Source organism: Homo sapiens, chromosome 5 (assembly GCF_000001405.40).
Source record: "Homo sapiens chromosome 5, GRCh38.p14 Primary Assembly".
NCBI classification, from domain to species: domain Eukaryota; kingdom Metazoa; phylum Chordata; class Mammalia; order Primates; family Hominidae; genus Homo; species Homo sapiens.
The window spans coordinates 131509220-131529757 of NC_000005.10; the positions used below are offsets into that span (position 1 = coordinate 131509220).

General features: G+C 37.0%; 1 protein-coding gene across 6 annotated transcripts in view; it reads right to left on the reverse strand.

Annotated features, from left to right (window-relative positions):
• Positions 1-20538, reverse strand: part of RAPGEF6 (Rap guanine nucleotide exchange factor 6) — a 211309-nt gene that overhangs the window by 85299 nt on the left and 105472 nt on the right. For all 6 annotated transcript variants that reach the window (NM_016340.6, NM_001164388.2, NM_001164386.2 and 3 more), the window contains exons 7-8: positions 12171-12302; positions 1095-1272 (exon numbers count right to left, since the gene is read on the reverse strand). In NM_016340.6, coding sequence (NP_057424.3) covers positions 1095-1272; positions 12171-12302 — 310 coding nt within the window. The remainder of the gene's footprint in view (positions 1-1094; positions 1273-12170; positions 12303-20538) is intronic.

The window sequence follows — 20538 nt, forward strand, 5'->3', positions numbered from 1 at the left end:
AATATTACATAAAAAAATTTATAATGTTTTAAGAGTACACATGGTCAGGCGTGGTGGCTCACACCTGTAATCCCAGCACTTAGGGAGGCCGAGGTGGGCGGATCACAAGGTCAGGAGATCGAGACCATCCTGGCTAACACGTTGAAACCCCATTGCTACTAAAAATACAAAAAATTAGCCAGGCGTGGTGGCGGGCGCCTGTAGTCCCAGCTACTCAGGAGGCTGAGGCAGGAGAATGGCGTGAACCCGGGAGGCGGAGCTTGCAGTGAGCCAAGATTGCGCCACTGCACTCCAGCCTGGGCGACAGAGTGAGACACCGTCTCAAAAAAAAAAATAAGAGTACACACAAAACATACATATATTTAAGCTAGGGAAATAAAAATATAAGGTTTTAAAAAATCTGCAAGTTTTTCAAAAAGCAAATTCACAGACACTGAACATTGTACTATGCTTGTGCTTTAAATGTCTTATAGACATGAAGGGAAAAATCAGTTTAATGCAATCAAAGCTTTTATTTTATATATTGTGGCAGCCAACCTCAAAGATGGCTCACAGTGATCCCTGCCTCCTGATAGTCATGTCCTTGTACAGACCCATTCTATACTGTATCAGAGTTACCTGGTATAACAAACAGAATTTAGCAGAAGTGATGATGCATTACTCTTGAATACAGATAATAAAAAACTGTGGCATTTGCCTTATTCTCCTTTGGATTACTTACTTAGGGGGAAGCCTAAGTTCCCCTTAAGTATGTTGTAAGGACAATTAAGCAGCCTATCAGAGGCCCACATGAGGAACTGAAGGTCATGCACCAAAGGCCATTTGAATAGCTATCTTGGACACAGATTCTACAGCTCAGCCCAGGGAAGACCTGGATGGCTGCAGCCCTGTGTCAATTCTGACAACAACCTCATGGGAGATACCAAGCCAGAACCACTCAGCTAAGGTGCTCCTAAATTTGACTCACAAAAACTCTAAGATAATGGCTTAACACAACACACATTTATTAAGTTTTAGAATAATTTGTTATGCAGAAATAGGTAACCATATAAATTAAGTTACAAATTCTTATTGTGAACACATATATTTCTTACCAATGTCATCATCAGTTTTGTCTGCAGGTTCTTTTTCAAGACATTCTCGAACAAGATCTCGCCCCTGCAATGGATCTGTTCGATCAATCTCTTCATCTTCCTCTTCGTCATCCTCAGAATCAACAGGTCCTTCTGGAAGACGTGTCAAATCTACATCTCCTACCTCACTCTCCGTAGCCTATGAAAAGAAATCTTGATCACTTACCATTTCATGTAAAAAATATTATAAGTCACAGTCTGAATTAATCAAAACTACCCATCCCTACAAAATATAAAAGACTTGGGCAACGCTGGATGCTGCATCAAGAATACAATAAAATGATACTTATTTATAAAAGGTTCTTTCTGCCCCAAATTTAGAGGCTCATCTTTCCACAGTGTGACAACTAGGTGATAAATCAGAATCAGTAAATGTAAAATGGTCAGGAGACTCAAACATCACTAAATGTATTAATATCTGTTTTCCACCCAACACTTGTATTTCCTAAAAGTACTAAGTTTACTAAAACATGAAGTACAGGAAAGAAAAAGTTTACCAACAATCACCTTATGAGTACCTATTAGTCTATGCTGGGTATTGTGAAGAAGATACTGTTCTTTCATCACAGAGACTTAGGCTTAGTAGGGTAGGTAATCATATAAATTAAGAACAGAAGTTTAAAGTAAGGTAAAGAACAGTACTAAAATGCACTAAAATAGACCCATCGTAAAGGACTGAACAAATACTCTTCATTTCCCAATACTTTACTGTAGGATCTAAAAGTGTGCAAAGAGCTGTGATTTTTGAACTCTATAAAATGACCTTATACTTACAACTACAATTTGGAAACATATTAGTCTTACATATTTTAAAGAAACTATAAAATTTTTAAAAACCATATATTAAAAAGTCATTCATAGAAAATAATGAAAATGTCTTTTAGAAGATAAAATGGTACTAAGTAGATTCTTAAAAAATATTTCTAAATATTATACTCACTTGAGTCATCTTGTTAATGAAAAAGCATGGGTATTAAAGGCATTATAGAAAAAATGAGTGAACACACAAGAATTCCCTAATAAGTAGAAAGCACTCAAATATGAATATTAGTGAAGACTACAGAATCTTAATTCATTAAGTATCTCATGTTTTGAACATTTACCCTTTTTTACTGCCAAAAAGATCATCTTTTTTTTTTTTTTTTCTTTTTTTTGAGACAGGTTCTCCCACTGTCACCCAGACTGGAGTGTAGTGGTGTGCACTGCAGATCTCGGCTCACTGCAACCTTGTCCTCCTGGACTCAAGAAATCCTCTCTCCTGAACGCCCTGAATACCTGGGAACACAGGTATGCACCACCCTACCCAACTAATTTTTTAAATATTTGTAGAGACTCGGGGGAGGTTGCTATGCTGCCCAGGCTAGTCTTGAACTCCTGGGCTCATGTGATCCACCCACCTTGGCCTCCCAAAATGCTGGGATTACAGGGTGAGCCACCATGCCCAGCTGATCTTCCTTCTTTTGAGGACTACCTTTCCTCTCCATCTTAAACCCAGAGATTACAGTGGGAAACAGTGCCCTGTTCCCTAGCTATGTAAACTAAGTTAGAAAGAGCTTTTCTCTAGATTTCTGTACACAATTAGATCTGGAAGCAGAGCATCCTTTCTTAACTGGTTGCTAAATTGGAAGAATATGAGAGTAGGCAGCCTATAGCCTCATGGAAACGCCTTCCTGTGGCAGAAGAAAATGAAACCAATAGGCAGGGAAATAGGAAAGGGAATGGGGAGGAGGACACTGAACAAGAGAGTCAAACAAAGACTCAGAGCAACAAAGCAACAGAAACAGAGCATGCAGGGCAGAGAAAGAAAGAGCACAGCATGTGCTGCAAAGAGCATTTGTGACAGAAAGTGTCACAAAGCAAGCAAGCAAGGAAAAATAAGCAAGCCGTACGGAGCCAAAAGACCAGAAACAGGCAGACGGGGCAGACGTACCTGCAAGCATCCAGGTACCCTGAGGCTAGAGTTGCCTCTGCTTTCTCTGGTGGTCAATAAACTAACCTTTTGGCTTTACATTTTTTTTCTTCTTTTTTTTTTTTTTAAAGACAGGGTTTCACTCTGTCACCCAAGTTGTGCAGTGGTATGATCACAGCTCACTGTAGCCTCAGCCTCCCTAGTAGCTAGGACCACAGGCACTGGCCTTTTGGCTTTTGTTAATTCAAGTTAAGGCTCTGACACCTACAACTAGAAGAGTCTGGATCTGTTTCCTAAGACCATGTCTTATACTTCCTTTGGATTTCTGCACAGCTTTAAGTAATAGTCATTTAACAATCTAGACTAAATACTCAAATTGTGATCTTTAAATTAGACAAGCTAGTTCTTAAGGGTCTGCGATTGTCTGAATGTTTGTACCTCCTCAAAATTCTTATTTTGAGTGATGGAATTATGAAGTGGGGCCTTTGGGAAGTGATTAGGTCATGAGAACTCTCACGAATGGGATTAGTATATAAGAAGCCTGAGGGAGCTCATTCTCCCCTTCTACTCTGTGAAGCTACAGTTAGAAGGTACCTCTAACAATCAGAAAGAGGTCTTTTACCAGACACCAAATCTGCTTGCTGGTGCCTTGATCTTTAAACTTTCCAGCCTCAAGAATAGTGAGAAATAAATTTCTGGTGTTTATAAGCTACCCCCCAGTCTACAGTATTTTGTTACAGCAGCCTGAATGGACTAAGACAGGATCATATAGGGGCAACTGTATCTCATGACTGACTAGTACGCTCTGAGTTGTTTACTGGCTATGAAATTACAGGGTTTAAACGGAGTATATTTCTGAATAATACATAGAACCACAAACTTGTTTGCAGGTTATAATCCTTTTTTAAAGACAAGTAGTTTTAAATTTAAATATGTGTACATGCTAAAAAGACTTTCCAAAAACCTTATTTATATACACTGATTTAATCTAAGAAACGACTGGGAAAAAACCTAAAGCAGTATTTTCTACACAATTTAATTTCTCAATATGCAGGAGAGCTCACTCCTAGTATATCCCTTTTCTATTTTATCAATTTTTAAGTGTAATCTGCATTAAAAATTCAGGTTTTTAAATCACTCTGTCTTCATCTTAATCTAAGGTTTTCATCCCCTGACCCAGATTATTTCAATCTGGTCTCATTCCCATATTTTAGATTATGTTGGATAAAAAGATAGATGGCTCACAACATAAAAAGGCAAGATGGAATTTAGTTATATGGACAGTAGAGAAGGCTAATTATCATCTGCATGAGAAGCAAAGACAATTAAGGAGATAGCTCTTTAGGAAGAATGGAAGTCATGGGTTGGGACTGAGAGAAGGCTACTAAAAGAACTTTTTTAGGAACCTTTTAATACCAACTGCAAAGGAAAGAATATAATCTACCCTTACAATTTGTCTTTCTAAGCCAGGCACAATGGCTCCTGCCTGTAATCTCAGCACTTTGGGAGGCTGAGGCATGCAGATCGCTTGAGCCTAGGAGTTTGAGGCCAGCCTGGGCAACACGGAGAAACCCTGTCTCTACAAAAAAATACAAAAATTAGCCGGGTGTGGTGGCATTAGCCGGGTGTGGTGGCACATGCCTGCACTCCCAGCTACTCAGGAGGCTGAGGTGGGAGGATTGCTTAAGCCTTGGAGGCAGAGGCTGCAGTGAGCCGAGATCTTGCTGCTGCACTCCAGCCTGGGTGACAGTGTGAGAACGTGTCTCAAAAACCAAAACCAAAACCCCCCAAAAACCACAACTACCTTTCTTATACCTCTACTTTTTACATAGTAGTATAAAAAGAATAAAATTAGTTAAGAAAATACATTAAACTATTAAAATATTAAGAGTATACATGAGCATAAGGTGATAAAACAGGAATTAAGAATAAAAAATAAGACTGTTCAAAAACATGCTAAGAAATTTAAAGGGATTTTTTTAAACTTAAAATGAATTTTTAAAAATGTAAAGACCAACTCCTTGATTAAACAAAGGAAAGTCAGGTCCTTAAGAGAAAGGTAGATATGATTATGACCACAGGACAAGAAGTCACTGCATGATACTTCTGAAGATGCAGTTCCTGGGCAGAAAGTTTAATTCTATAATAATTAGGTAAGAATTTTTTTCAACGTAATATCCACAATGTTCAGCATACAATAAAAACTTACTACATAAGTGAAGCAGGGAAATGTGACCTATAAACAGGAAACAAACCACTATAAAGAGACTCGATAATGATAGAGATAATGAAAGTAAGAGACAAGAACTTTCAACATTTACTACAAATAAGTTCAAGAATTTAGAAGAAAAACAATTAGAGGAAAAATGGATAATCTCAGTAAGGAGATATAAACTGTAAGAAGAATAAATTTGAAGAAAGGGCAACAAAAGCTACCCAATCTGAAGTAGAGATGAGAAAAAAGCCAAAAAAAAATTAATAAAGCCTTAGAGACTCATATCATAATACCACGAGTGGAAATATGTGGGTCAAAAGACACTCCGTATTCGTGAAGGTAGGGTACACAGAAGACTCATCCCCAGCCTTTCAATTAATTTATCCTAGCACCTGGGACATATCAGACCCTTAATTATGATAAATGAGTTAAGTCCAGGAAAAATATATATATTGGTGATAGGATTAAGACAGCATGAAACTTTTTTCTTTTCCTGACATATGAATGTGTCTCTGTATACATAAATATAATTTGGTGAGGCAGACAGTCTGAGGTGATTTTCTGATGACTCGGCCTTCCCCAAATAAACCACCAGAGGATATCCTTTTCCTGTTTCCATCTAGATAAACATGAAGCTACAATGAAGAGAACTATAGGTTGGAACTAAGAGTTATACAAACTTACAAAAACCACATTTTCAAATTTAGGGCAAGTGTTAAGCCTTAGACTTTCAGTGCCTCTCTTTTCTGTATTCCCATCTTTAGTATTTCATTTAACCTTTTCATGGACCATTTAGTTCTTAGGTCTTCCTGGTCAGGGTTAGAACTCTATGAAGTTAATCTTTCAGTCCAGGTTGACCCATTTCATAACCTCTACAACACGGCAGGCAGGCAAAATCAAGTCTCTTTTGCCCTGGATAATAAAGTTTTAGTTAGCAGAGATCTGCATTTTCCTTGAAGCCAATATTGGTTTCTACTTTCAAATATAATTCAGTGCAAAAAAAGAATTTCTAGAGTACTTCCTAAATGCCAACACTGTGCCTGACTCACCATGGGATACAAATTTAAGACATCAACTCTGCACTCCATAAATTTACTCTGGTGATGAAAAATGTCAAGTTTACAAGTAACTACCAAAAAAAGCAGAGAGAAAAAGTGACATGTCCGAGAGAAAAACTGCTGAGGGATTCCAAGGAAGGAGACATTTCTTCTTGTTGGAAAGACATGGGAGATAACATGAAAATGTCATCTTCATGAAGCTACGGGTAGAAGAGCATGATTAAAACACAAGACTAGGAAAAGGCAGACATGTTCAGGGAATAACGTACATATGTGATGGGGCAGAATCTAGAATGTGTAAGTGGGGGAACAGTAAAATATAAAACTACATTGTAGTTAGAGGTAAAAGGCTTGGAATTTAAAATTAAGAGTGTAATTTAGATAACAGTGAAGAATTAAAGCTTTTTAAATACAAGAGTAATTAAAAATCAGAGCAATTTATTTCAAGTGGGAGTTTAAAAATGATAGTCAAAAGATGATAACAGATTTTGACTAGGACTCAGATGATATCCTTTTTTTTTTTTTTTTTTTTTTTTTTTTTTTTTTTTTTTTTTTTTTTTTTTTTTTTTTCTGTGACGGAGTCTTTCTCTGTCACCCAGGCTGGAGTGCAGTGGTGCGATCTTGGCTCACTGCACCTCTGCCTCCTGGGTTCAAGCGATTCTCTTGCCTCAGCCTCCTGAGTAGCTGGTGCATGCGCCACCGCACGTGGCTACTTTTTTTTGTATTTTTAGTAGAGATGGGGTTTTGCTATGTTAGCCAGGCTGGTCTCAAACTCCTGACCTCAAGTGATCCACCGAACCCAGCCTCAGATGATATTCTTAACAGAAATATTAAAGAAAGGTGTAAGAGAACATGTGGTGACTTGAGTTGACAAAAGAACATACTGGTGAAAACGTGGCACCAGAGTTCTGAAGAGATTGGCACTCCGAGCTGTGCATTAGGAAATCATGTTGCCATAGAGGTGGTAACTGAAGTCTTGGGATTTTTAAGAACACGCTTACTGCCTATATAGAAACTGAAAAGGTAGGTGGTGGATAAATGTGTGTCTGGAGTTGTTTAAGAATGAGTTAACAAAAAGACAACATGCTTTTGTTCAAGAGTCAATATTTCACAGTTTTCCAGCTCATGGAAAAGACTGAAATAAATAGAAAAAGGAATCTAGAAAGAAGTACTCCTTATTCTCTTGAATACTCTTTGAAGATGCAGAAAATATTCTATCTAAGAACACTCTTACACCTTAATGTATACTTTAAAATTTTAATCTATGCTGATTAGAAACACATTCACACTGGAATCATTGATTTGCCTTTTTTTCCCTCCACACTATAGTACATGCTATATTTTGAAGTTTCTTTGAGGGCCAAGGGCTTTTATTTTTAGACCAGAAGACATGAAAACTCTCAAGAAGGAAATGCATAGAAGTGTAGCCACACATTTGGCCATATAAAACAGTGTAAACAGTTTTCCTGTTAAGAACTGCTGTCAGGAAAACCAAATCCCGCATGTTCTTACTTATAAGTGGGCGCTAACAATTGGGTACACATGGACCTAAAGATAGGAACACCAGACACTGGGGTCTATTAGGGCAGGGAGAGAGGGGCAAGGGCTGAAAAACCACCGAATGGGTATTATGCTCACTATCTGGGTGATGGGATCATTCGAACCCCAAACACTCAGCACCACGCAATATACTATGTAAGAAATCTGCACATGTACCCCCCTGCATCTAAAATAAAAGTTGAAATTATTTTTAAAAATTGGGGAGACATCCATTTTTCTGGATAAGAAGACTCCACGTTAGAAAAAAATGCCCAAATTAATCTATATATAGTCTTCTGCCCCACAAAAAAAGCTGGATTTCACTTGAAACGTTTCTAAATTTCTAGAAGAATAAAAGCAGAAACACTAAAAAAAAATTGCTGTTAGGATATCTTCCCCTCAACTGTCCAAATTAAAAATACTTCTATCATTTCACAAGGCTTTTCTTATGGTGTTAAAGGCTAGGTGTTCACTTAAAAAATCTCTCAAATGCTAAAATTCAAATAACTAGACAAATCACTTCAGCTATCCCAGGCTAAGATACATACATTGGCAATGTACACCTGTAACTAAGGGGTATATTCATAGCTCCAAAAGGGAATCTAAAGGCAGCCTAAGGTGAAAGGAAAGATCAAGGGTCCAGTACTGATATTTAATTCTTCTCCTTGTTTATTCCCGAGGATCTGATTGGAAACATTCGCGCATGTACACACACACACACACACACACACACACACACACACACACACAAAATTTAGTTAGACATTTCTCTTACCCATGGATTAAAATTATAGAAATCTTGTACTTTGGAGGGTATATCTTATCAATCTATTATAATTCTGTGTTTATTCCTTTTACTCTCCTTTAAATATTTTCCAATTTTTTTTTCAACTTTTAACTATACAATCTATTTACGTCCTCCTTAATATTTGTTAAATAAATAAAAATGTTCGTTTAAGAAACATAATAAAAACTACCCACAAACCCACCACTAGTAGAAAAACACTGTTACTAACTGGTGTTCTTGAACTCGGATTTACATTCTGTATCTACAAGTATAACATATTTAAGTATACAGGTATATATATTTATTTAACGAAATATAAATAAAATGTTAAAAATACCTACTTATCTCATAGATATGATATATAAGATTTTATACATATGAGATATAAAAAATATATAAGTATGTAGGTGTATATTTTTATGATTTTGATTTTTTTCCTTTTGTGTTTATCTTTATTGGCTTCTTTTTATTTTGGCGTTTATGCTGTTTCTATCTTTTGGCTATGGTCCTAAAGTTAACTGTTATGTCAGAGTTTGAAATTTTTTTTTTTTTTGGAGACGGAGTTTCACTCTTGTTGCCCAGGCTGGAGTGCAATGGCGTGATCTTGGGTCACCGCAACCTCCGCCTCCTGGGTTCAAGTGATTCTCCTGCCTCAGCCTCCTGAGTAGCTGGGATTACAGGCATGCTCCATCACCCCAGCTAATTTTTTATTTTTAGTAGAGAGAGGGTTTCTCCATGTTGATCAGGCTGGTCTTGAACTCCCGACCTCAGGTGATCCGCCCACCTCTGCCTCCCAAAGTGCTGGGACTGCAGGCTTGAGCCACTGTGCCCAGCAGCAGAGTTTGAAAATTTTTATCTTCTTTGACTACTCTTAAAAAATTTTATCTTAGGTTTTATATATTTGATGTTAACATTATTATAAGTTTCTTCTTTAAATTTCTTCATTCCTATTTTGGTTCTAGAGTTTTATCTTATTTATTTTATCTTTATTCCTTTTATCTTTTCATGCTCTCTAAATTCATTCCCACTTTTATTGGTTAATTTATAAGTTTCATTGCATCATATTTTTTTAAACTATATGATTCCATTTATATGACCTTCTGGAAAAGGCAAAACTATAAGGTCAGAAAAGAGATTGGTGGTTGCCAGGGCATAGGATAGGGGTCAGGAGAAGGTACTTGACTGCAAAGGGTCATATGGATACTTTCTGAGGTGATGGAAATATTCTACATATTGATATAGGCTATGCCATGGTCCTGCAATAGAACACCTCCAACCAACACCAGCAGGTGTACTCCAGTCTCATCCTCAGGTTGTCCAGCTAAAAGGGGAGTAATCTGCAGGTGCTAATATAAGTGCAATGCTCCTATAGGAGCTCCTGTAGTATCTTTGCAAAGATGTAGGGACCAACTGTGTACAGTCCATCTTCTAGTTCACAATAAAGCATTGGTCTTTCCAAGTGACCTTGAATCTTAATCTGTGCACTATCCTGGCTTAGAGATGTGGATATCCCAGTGATACCAGGTTCTTATAGTTTTTCTTGTCTTTTCTTCTTTTTTGAGACAGAGTCTTGCTCTGTCGGCCAGGCTGGAGTGCAGTGGCATGCTCTTGGCTTGCTGCAACCTCCGCCTCCTGGGCTCAAGCAATTCTCCTTACTCAGCCTCCCAAGTAGCTGAGATTACAGATGTGTGCCACCACGCCCAGCTAATTTTTGAATTTTTCGTAGAGACAGGGTTTCACCATGTTGGTCATGCTGGTCTTGAACTCCTAACCTCAGGTAATCCGCCCGCCTAGGCCTCCCATCCTATAGTTTTTCAACACTAAACCTCTGTGTATAGTCTTAGAAAAGTCCAGATATTCTCACATGTCCTGAGAGAAATCTACAGCCACATCCCTGAATTTCACTGATCCAGGGTCAATCTTCCTCAGTGTTTTCTTCTGGAAAAACACAGTCTACTTTGATTTTTAGGTGTGCAACAATTCTTCTTTCACAAGATAATTCTTTTGGGGAGGGGCAGAAAGCATGAAGCCCAATAGGTACACAAGTACTAAGTGGTGCCAGAGCTATTGTATTAACTTGTTTCATCTCTCTTTTAATTCTTTGTTCTCTCTACTATAAAATGGAGAACAGGGAAAAATTCCTTGTTCTGTATACTGTAAAAAGCAAACAGGGAGATATAGATGACCACAGCAATTACCTTTGTTGAGAAAAGCCACATATAAACCAAAAAATGGGTATTGTCTTTGTTCCATTTTGCATCTGCCTACAAACTTCCCTGAATAGAAGAAGGCTATTTTCCTAAAATATCTCAATCTGGGTAACTTTGTAGAACCAGTCTAAAATGCTTTCCTCAGACAATGATACTATTTCTACAATTCTTAGTATATGGTAGCCACTAGCCGTATGTGGTTATTAGGCACTTAAAACATGGCTAGTCCAAATTGAGATGTGCTGTAACTTTAAATTAAACTCTGTTTTTTGATGACTTAATATGCAAAAGTAATGTAAGGTAACTCATGCATAATGTTAAAACATTAAATACATGTTGTAATTATAGTATTTGGTTATACTGCACTAAATAAAATATATTACTAAAATGAATTTTACCTGTTTCCTTTTATATTTTTTAATGTGGCTACTAGAAAATTTAAAATTAAATACGTGGCTCACATTAAATTTCTATTTGACAGTTCTGAAATAGGTAATATATTTGAATTCCTTAACAAACCAACCCTCAATATCATGCATCCTCTTGTTATTTTATTTAAACTGTTTTATGTTCTATACTCATGATCTCTGACAAAATCAACCACTGGGCTCCACACCCAGGGAACTGCTCCTTACAACTTGCATTAAAGAAGACATCATAGAAGTTCCACTATCTGGATCCTGAAATACTTATTACCCTGGCTTGAACCTAACTTGGGTTCAATCTCAGCAGGATCATGTGAGGATTCTCTCAGTTTATGGGTCTTCCTAGAACCTTCTCCCCAATATTACAATGATCACTGAAAAGCTCAGTAGGTTTGAAATTGTTCCTCTTGGGTTTTAGAAAATGGAAAAGTCCATCAATATTCTCACTAATTTGCTATTTAATTCACGCTAGACTACAACAGAGGCTTTATGGTAGAAAAGCAGCTCTAATTTTCTTCATGACTTCTAACTACAGAAGACATATACAGTCAATTATAACAAAAATCAGCCTTTTTATAAGTTTAAGTTCAGTTATTCCAAGAACTAATTTTTTAACCAAAACAAGCATTAGATATTAATATGGATTCACCTGGATAAATGAAAGAGAACACTAGATTCATACTCTGCTGAACCATACTTAATCATTCTCAAAAGACAGATCACGTCTTTAATCATGCTTACAAATTTGACACAGTATATAAAGCTTATTTTTCTAAAGACCTTACGCTTGAATTTCATACTCTAAAAGATATGTTAACCATCTAAGGCACAATCACAGAATATCTGGCAAATAAAAAAACCATATACGCAGCATACAAATTCCTAAGGTATTACCTGATAGATATCAGATAAACTGCTGCTTCCAGAGTCACTGGCAATGCTACAACCAGACTGACTAGAAGACACATGAGTCACCTGTGGATGAGGGTTTTCTGTGAGATGCATCTTGGTAAGATCAGCTGGAAGCTGAAAAAAAAAATAATTTAAGTTATTCTAAATGTCAAGCTTTACCTTTTTAAGCGGTTTCGACATGTTCAACAAATTTTTATGTACATTACTGTGCAATCTCTTTTTTAACCCAAGTTCTCTACTTTCAGCAAAAAGATCTTTTGAAATAAGAACCATATGGTACTCTCTGAAACTATTAGACAATCCTACAATGGTAAGCTCACTGAACAGTTTTCAAAAGCCATTACTAATGATATTTCAGAGGAAAAACTTGGCCCTTCTATCCTCCCAAATAAAAATATCAGACCTGTCCATTTAAGGGTAGGAATGTTACCCTACACACACACACACACACACACACACACACACACACACACACACACACACACTCTCTCTCTCTCTCACACACACACTCACTCTCCCTCCCTCCCTCCTAATAAAAAATGGTGACTGATACAAGAATAAAACAGCAATATCTTGGAATCAAGTTCAGCTACTGGCAGCAAGACTTAAGACCAGTAACAAGTTGATTACATTAAATATTCCAAAAATTCTGTGAGCATCTTTACACTTAATATTGAATTAGCTTCTAGTTGGCCCCTGAGAGATTTCTTAGTAATCAACATGATTTAATGAATGTCTGTACTAGGCACAGGTATACAAGAAACACAAAAAGTAAATGACTCCACCACCTCATCTTTAATATGGTCGCATTCTTACCAGGTATGCAGGCTGTACAATATATTTCATGCCGTAAAAGAGACATCTCACAAAATACAAGCTACAGAAATTAAGACAATAAACAAACCACTGCATTCCAGAGTAGTAAAAGTTTTGCATAAGAAGTATGCTAATTTATTTTCCAAATGATTTCTCTGCAACTTGCTATTCAGGGCTATCAAAATCAATTTAATTTTTAAAATAGGGTTCCTCATTGCTTTACTAATGAAAAACATTAAAGAAACACACACATAGTGTATATTAAATGTATTCTGAGGGAATGACTGAGTCTGAATTATGTTATCTCAAGAGGAGTTAATGTAATTATAAAAATTACACATAAAGTACATCACGAACTTCCCCTGCTGATAATGGTATGTTAGATAATTCAGACGAATCCTAGTACTAAGACAAACAGAAAACCTGAAGTACATACATACATACACACACACACAGTATCTGGCCTCTGACGTTACTTTTTCTCCTAAGAATATTTTCTGATTCCTAAAGAAAAGGCTAAAAGGCCAAGAAGTACCTGTGACAGCCACTGGCTAAAGGGACAAAAGTTAAATTCCAAGGCCTAGGATGGAAGGGCCATCTTTGCACTGGGACCCTGGAGAGTAAATTAGACTCTAGAGTAAATGTCACCCAAAAGTAAACTGATGCTAATTTTAGAATGACCTCAATGCCTGATGCTAAAATAAGGTTATACAGGATTACTAGCATTTCCAATCAACTGTTGGAAGCAAACACAAATCCTCACTATAGGAAGAAAGTCATCCTAGGTCTCAATTAAAAAAATTTTTTTTCACATATACAACATCCATTGCTCAGCCCAATAAAACCAGGCACATATGACGAGACAGGATGGCACTGATAAAAAGTATGGAATAAACTCCAGAAACTAACAAAGAAGTTTCAAATAATAGGGTTACCAGACACAGTCTCTAAAATAACTGTCTTTAATATATACCAGGGGTTGGCAAACATCTTCGTTAAGAGCCAAAGAATATATATTTTAGGTTTCACAGGCCACATACAGTTTCTGTTGTATGCTTTTTTTTTTTTTTTTTTTTTTTTTTACATCTTTTTAACAACTCCTTAAAAATGTAAAAATCATTCTTAGCTCACAGGTCATATAGCTCACTGGTCAGAATTGGTCCAGTTAGTGATCTATCATATATATAGAGAAAAATACAAGACTAACAATATCAGCAAAGAAAGAAAAATAATTAAATGAAAAATCTAGAACTAAAATATACAATTATGGAAATTAAAAAGCCAACAAGTGGGCTTAATTAAAGATTTGACAGAGCTAAGAAGAGAATTTGAAAAGTAAAGACTAGTCTGAAAAATATCCAGAATGAAGCATGGAGAGGAAAAAAGGTGAAGGTGGGAGAGAAGGGGTAAGAGCCACAGGAGATTCAGTGAGAGAATGTGACATCTGAAAAACCAGAGCCTGAGAAGAGCAAGTACACAGAAGCAAGATGATAGCTAAGCATTTTCCAAAAGTGACAAAAGATCTAAAGTCACAGATCAAGGAGGTTTAAAAACTCCCAGCAAGATAAAAAAACAAACAAACAAACAAAAAACCCACCCCAAAACAAACAATCCCCCCATACCTATGCACACCAGGGTACATGTGGCAGGGGGTGAGGTGGAGTATCAAGAGAAAAGTTTTAAAGTAGCCAGGAAAAAAAACCAGAGTGATTAGATTACTTTGGCAGAAGCAATTAAACTGACAGCTGGCTTCTCAACATAAATTCTGGAAGCCAGAAGACAATTGAGTGATATCTCCAAGAGCTAAAATTCTATACCTAGCAAAAACAGTCCTCAAAAAAGGGAAAAAATAATTTTCAAATAAAGAAAACTGAAGGAAATAATTCCTTAGCAGTCCTACAATGAATAAAATCCACTGGGAGAAGAAAAATGACTCCAGATGGAAGCTTTCAGGAACAAGAAAGAAGAAAAACCAAGGAAAATGGGAAATGTGTGGGTAAATCTACATGAATGCTTACTATATAAAATAGTAACATTAATATCCCATGAAGTTTAAAATACAGTAATTAAAATACAACTACAGAATGTAAGTCTGGAGAAGGGTAAATGAAGCTATTAGAGTGCTCTCAGTTCCTTGCACTGTCCATGAAGCTGTAGTAGCAGACTTGATAGGTGAAGAATGTGTTTTGTAATTTCTGATTTAAGAAAAGCATAGTAAAAAAGTGTATAACTATAAAGCTAACAGAGGGGAAAATATTAAATAATCAAAGAATGGAAAAATATAGACCATGCAAACACAACCAAAAGAAAGCTGATATAGCTTATAGATGGGAGAGGGAGAGGGAGAGGAGGAGAGAGAGGGAGAGGGAGGGGGGAGAGAGAGATTGAGAGAGAGAGAGAGAGAGAGAGAGAGAGAGAGACTTGCTCTGTCACCTACGCTGGAGTGCAGCGGCGCAATCTCGGCTCACTGCAACCTCTGCCTCCTGGGTTTGAGTGTTCCTTTTGCCTCAGCCTCCTGAATAGCTGGGATTACAGATGTATACCACCATGCCCAGCTAATTTCTGTATTTTTAGTACAGAAGGGGTTTCACCACATTGGCCAGGCTGGTCTCCAGCTCTTGACCTCATGTAATCTGCCTGCCTCAGCCTCCCAAAGTGCTGGGATTACAGGCGTAAGCCACCTTGCCTGGCCAAGGTGATGGATATATTAATTACCTTGATTTGTTTCACAATGTGAACATGTATCAAAACATCACACTGTACCCCATAAATACATGCAATTATTATTTGTGAATTACAAATAAATTAAAATTAAAAAAATTTATAAGGCAAAAATGTCATCTACAATTATGCCATAAATTTTTAATACAGATTTCAGTAGCAGTCTGAATAAGCAAAATACACGAAAACAGAACAAGTAAAGATATAAAAGATACGAACATAATTAACAAACGACCTAAAGAGTATAGACATAGAATAATGGAACCAAAAACTCCAGAATGCATTTTCTTTTAGGGCACAAATAAAAACATTTGTAAAAATTTACAATTAAGGCAAGTCTCAACAAATTACAAAAGACTGAAACCAGGGAATATTCAGCAATAACACGCAAATAAGGTAGAAATACATAACAAAAAGATAAATAGAAAACTATCATGTTAGAAAATTGTAAACAATCCTCTATTGAAATAGCCCATAAATCCATGAAGTCACATTGGAAATTAGAAAATATTAAAACAGAAAATTAAGATGCTATATATGAAAACCTGTGGGATAAGTTAAAGTCATGCTTAGAGGCCATTTATAGCTCTACTATGTATATCAGAAAAGGCAGCAAAAAATTTAACAAAGTCATAATTGCTTACAATACAGAATATTGATGAGGGTATGATACAGTTCAAAGACCTTCCTCCCACTTAGTTTCTATCATTTAGATATGAAAAAAAAAAACCTCATCTGGGAATGAAGTAGTTGGAAAGGCAAACACTGAAAATAGTTTCAAAATGTGTGGTGTTTGGTTGGGGTGTCAGGGGTAGGAGATAGTATATATTGCAAATTCCTACAGAGGTAAGAAGACCAAGGAGAAGAATGTCATTCATAAAAGTAACACAATGAACCAAAGCCAGAAGTCTCCCAAGTGGCTTCATAGTACTGACAATGTACTGAGCAATCTTCACCCTCACTAAACCCTAAAAAGGAAGTGTTATTATTATCTCTATTTTACTGATGAGGAAACAGAGGAAGTACGATTAAGCAACTTATCCCAGATCATACACTCAAGTAAGCAGTAGAGTTGGGAATCAAACCCAGGTCTGACTCTAGCATTTTTCTGTTATATTCTACTTTGTGCCAGGAACTCTGCTGATGACATAAAAATGAAAACATATGGGCCCTGCCTTCAAGGAGCTCAGTCTAATACTGGACAGTGGAGACAGATTTATAAGCAAATAGCATCTGTTTTCTACTTCATGAAGAAAACTTCATACAGGAATTCCCTCAACCTCCTTACACAATGGGAATAATGATGCTGACTGCAATGAACATTTGAGTGCCCACCATTTGTACCAAACATACACTTCTACATGCCTTTCACATAATTATCTAACCTAACATTCAAACAACAAGATGAGGTAATACTATGATTATACCCAGTTTATAGAGTAGGAAACCTAATCTTAGAGATGTTATAAAGGTTTCCCAGGGTCACATGGCTAGGAAACTGGGGTCCTGGGATCTGAAACCCAGGCAGCCTGACTAAATCCGTTACTCTTTCCTACTAAGTTGTTTCCTGATACTTGGTTGGGAGTTCACAACACCCAGTAGTTTATCTTTTCTTTGTATCAAATGAAGCAAAAAGGAAAGGCTTTTCCTCCAAGAGAAGTTCTTGGTTCCCTAAATCTTCTCCACTATCTCTCAGCTTACCTGCCCTTTCTCTTTCTCTTCCTGATCTACCTGGACTCAACAGCTGATCTTTCATCAGCAAACTCAATTCATTTACCCCATTGTCCTTCCAGCCCACCAGGTCTGACAAAACTTCCCATTTTCCACAGCATCCTTCATCCATTTCCTATATCTGAACTTCTGTGCTCTGCTGGAGATCACATGTCCACAAGGCCTACTGTTAGTTTTATTTGAAGCAGCAAGAAAGTTTTTTAGCTAACAACTTGAATACAGACATTATGAAGTTACAAAGTCTGCTGAATACTTTGTATATATAGAGGGGGGTGGGGAAAGAGAGGTATTGAGAAAAGGCTAGAGGTAGAATATAATCAGCAATGCCAAGCTAGGCATTTTGAATTTGGTTCCTATAGACAATATAGAGCTACTATAGGTTTCTGGGAAGGGCAGTGATATAAGAGCTACTATATTTCTCAGTTAGACTAGATTTTGTTACAACAATAGGGGGCCCTCAGATCACTAAGGCTTACCCTAGTGAAGTGTACAGGCAACTTTTGGGGCAACTGCCTTAGTATACAGAGACTCAGATATCCAAACTGTTTAGGTATTTTTGGCTCTGCCATCTCAACATAAGGCCACTTAGGTCACAACAGCAGGAAAAAAACAAAACAACAACAACAACAAAAAAAAACAGCTGGAAGAGAATGTTAACCTTGCAAGTAATCAGGGAAATAAAAACTAAAACAAATACCTTTTCCCCATCAAATTGGCAAAAAACAAGTATGATAATACAAAATGCAGGAAAAATTATGGAGGAAAACAATATTCTCATAAACTGCTAATGGGAGTATGAACTGGTATAAACATTTTGGACAACAATTTGAGGAGTAGCCACTTTGGGGAGCAAATGTAAGGCTACATTTAAAATGTATATACCTTATGACTCAATATTCCTCTTAGGGTACCTACTGTTAAGATCACTCTGGAAGCACAGAAGGTGAAATAGAAGAAAATGATACACACAAGAGATAGGAGACACTAGTTGAAGCACAAGACAATGGAGGCCTTACAAAATTAAAAGTAAGCCACCAGAATTATAAGATGCTTCTAGGGGCCAGGCGCGATGGCTCACGCCTGTAATCCCAGCACTTTGGGAGGCCGAGGCGGGCGGATCACAAGGTCAGGAGATCGAGACCATCCTGGCTAACACGGTGAAACCCTGTCTCTACTAAAAATACAAAAAATTAGCCGGGCATGGTGGCGGGTGCCTGTAGTCCCAGCTACTCGGGAGGCTGAGGCAGGAGAATGGCATGAACCTGGGAGGCAGAGCTTGCAGTGAGCCGAAACTGCGCCACTGCACTCCAGCCTGGGGGACAGAGTGAGACTCCGTGTCAAAAAATAATAATAATTATTATTATATATAATTATATATAATATAATATATAAATTTATAATTTATATTATATGTAATATAAATTTATATATTATATATCATATAAAATATATATTATATAATATATACTATATATAATATAAAATATATATTACATATAAATTTATATTATATTATAATTATATATATTATATATAAATAAAATAAAATAATATATTTATATATCATATATATAAATAAAATAAAATAATATATTTATATTATATATATATAAATAAAATAAAATAATATATTTATATTATATATATATATATATATATATATACACACACACACACATATATATATATGGCAGTATGGAGCCTGTTTTATGGAATTTACCATTTCCCAAAAGCCCCAAAGGAGAACCTTGGGTATATACACCAAGAGATCACAGCACTGTGCCTGAGGTATGTGAAACTACAAGAGAAACATGGAACATTCCTAACTCATTATTTTTACCAAAAGTTGAGAGTTGGAAGGATGTTTCTAAATGATGTAACTAATAAGTATTAAAAAGTTTTTCAATTCTAAGACAAAGTAATCTCCCCACTTTAATATTTTTGAAACCACAGAGAAGCTTTCAATCAATATTCATTTTTTAATGGTGAGTTTACTAAAAGTAAATTACTACAATTTAGGAGAAAATCAGTATAAGAATGCTTGGCAAGTCTGAGAACAGGCAAGGAAATCAGGGCAGTGACAGTGAATGAGGAGGAGTGTAGTAGGAGATAAGTGGAGGAGGGAGCATAAACTGTTTGGTAGGTCATGGTGAGGACTTGGACTTTGAAGAAAGTCTGTCAAGGAGGAAGTGATCAGCTGTGTCAAGTGCTGCAGATAGGTACAGTAAGATAAGGGCAAAGAAATGACCTGCAGCTTTAGCTGTGGATAAATCAATCAGTGACCAGTGACTGGAGGAGCACCTCAAAGAAGGAAATAGAACCCAAAGTGGTAATGCTTCCTCCACCCAGTAAACAGTCACCTCAAACAAGCAACTCTAACAGATCAGGAAGATGAGCTCCCAACTAAGAACCACTTAAGTCAACCTCCTGAAAGAAACCCAAAAAACTCAATTTGATTTCTCTCTAGAGAGACCACGGAAAAAAAAAAAAAAAGAGTTGCAATTAAAAAACAACAACAGGCAGGGCACTGTGGCTCATGCCTGTAATCCCAGCACTTTGGGAGGCTGAGGTGGGTGGATCATTTGAGGTCAGGAGTTTAAGACCAGCCTGGCCAACATGGTGAAACTCCACCTCCACTAAAAACACAAAAATTAGCCGGGAGTGGTGGCAGATGCCTGTAGTCTCAGCTACTCAGGAGGCTGAAACAGGAGACTCGCTTTGACCCGGGAGGTGGAGGTTGCAGTGAGCGGAGATTGCACCACTGCACTCCAGCCTGGGCGACAGAGCGAGACTCTGTCAAAAAAAAAAAATAATAATCTCACAACTGAAGACGAAAGAGAATTTTCAGCTTGCGAGAGTACTACTCCAAAAGTGTCAATAGGGGAACAAAACATTAGGCAATCCAGGGCAAAACTTCATGGCATCAAGGATTAAAAAAAATAAATAAAACAAAGGCTGGACACAGTGGCTCATGCCTGTAATCCCAGCACTTTGGGAGGCCAAGGCATGAGGACTGCTTGAGTCCAGGAGTTTGAGACCAGCTTGGGCAAGATGGAGAGACCTTGTCTCTACAAAAAAATTA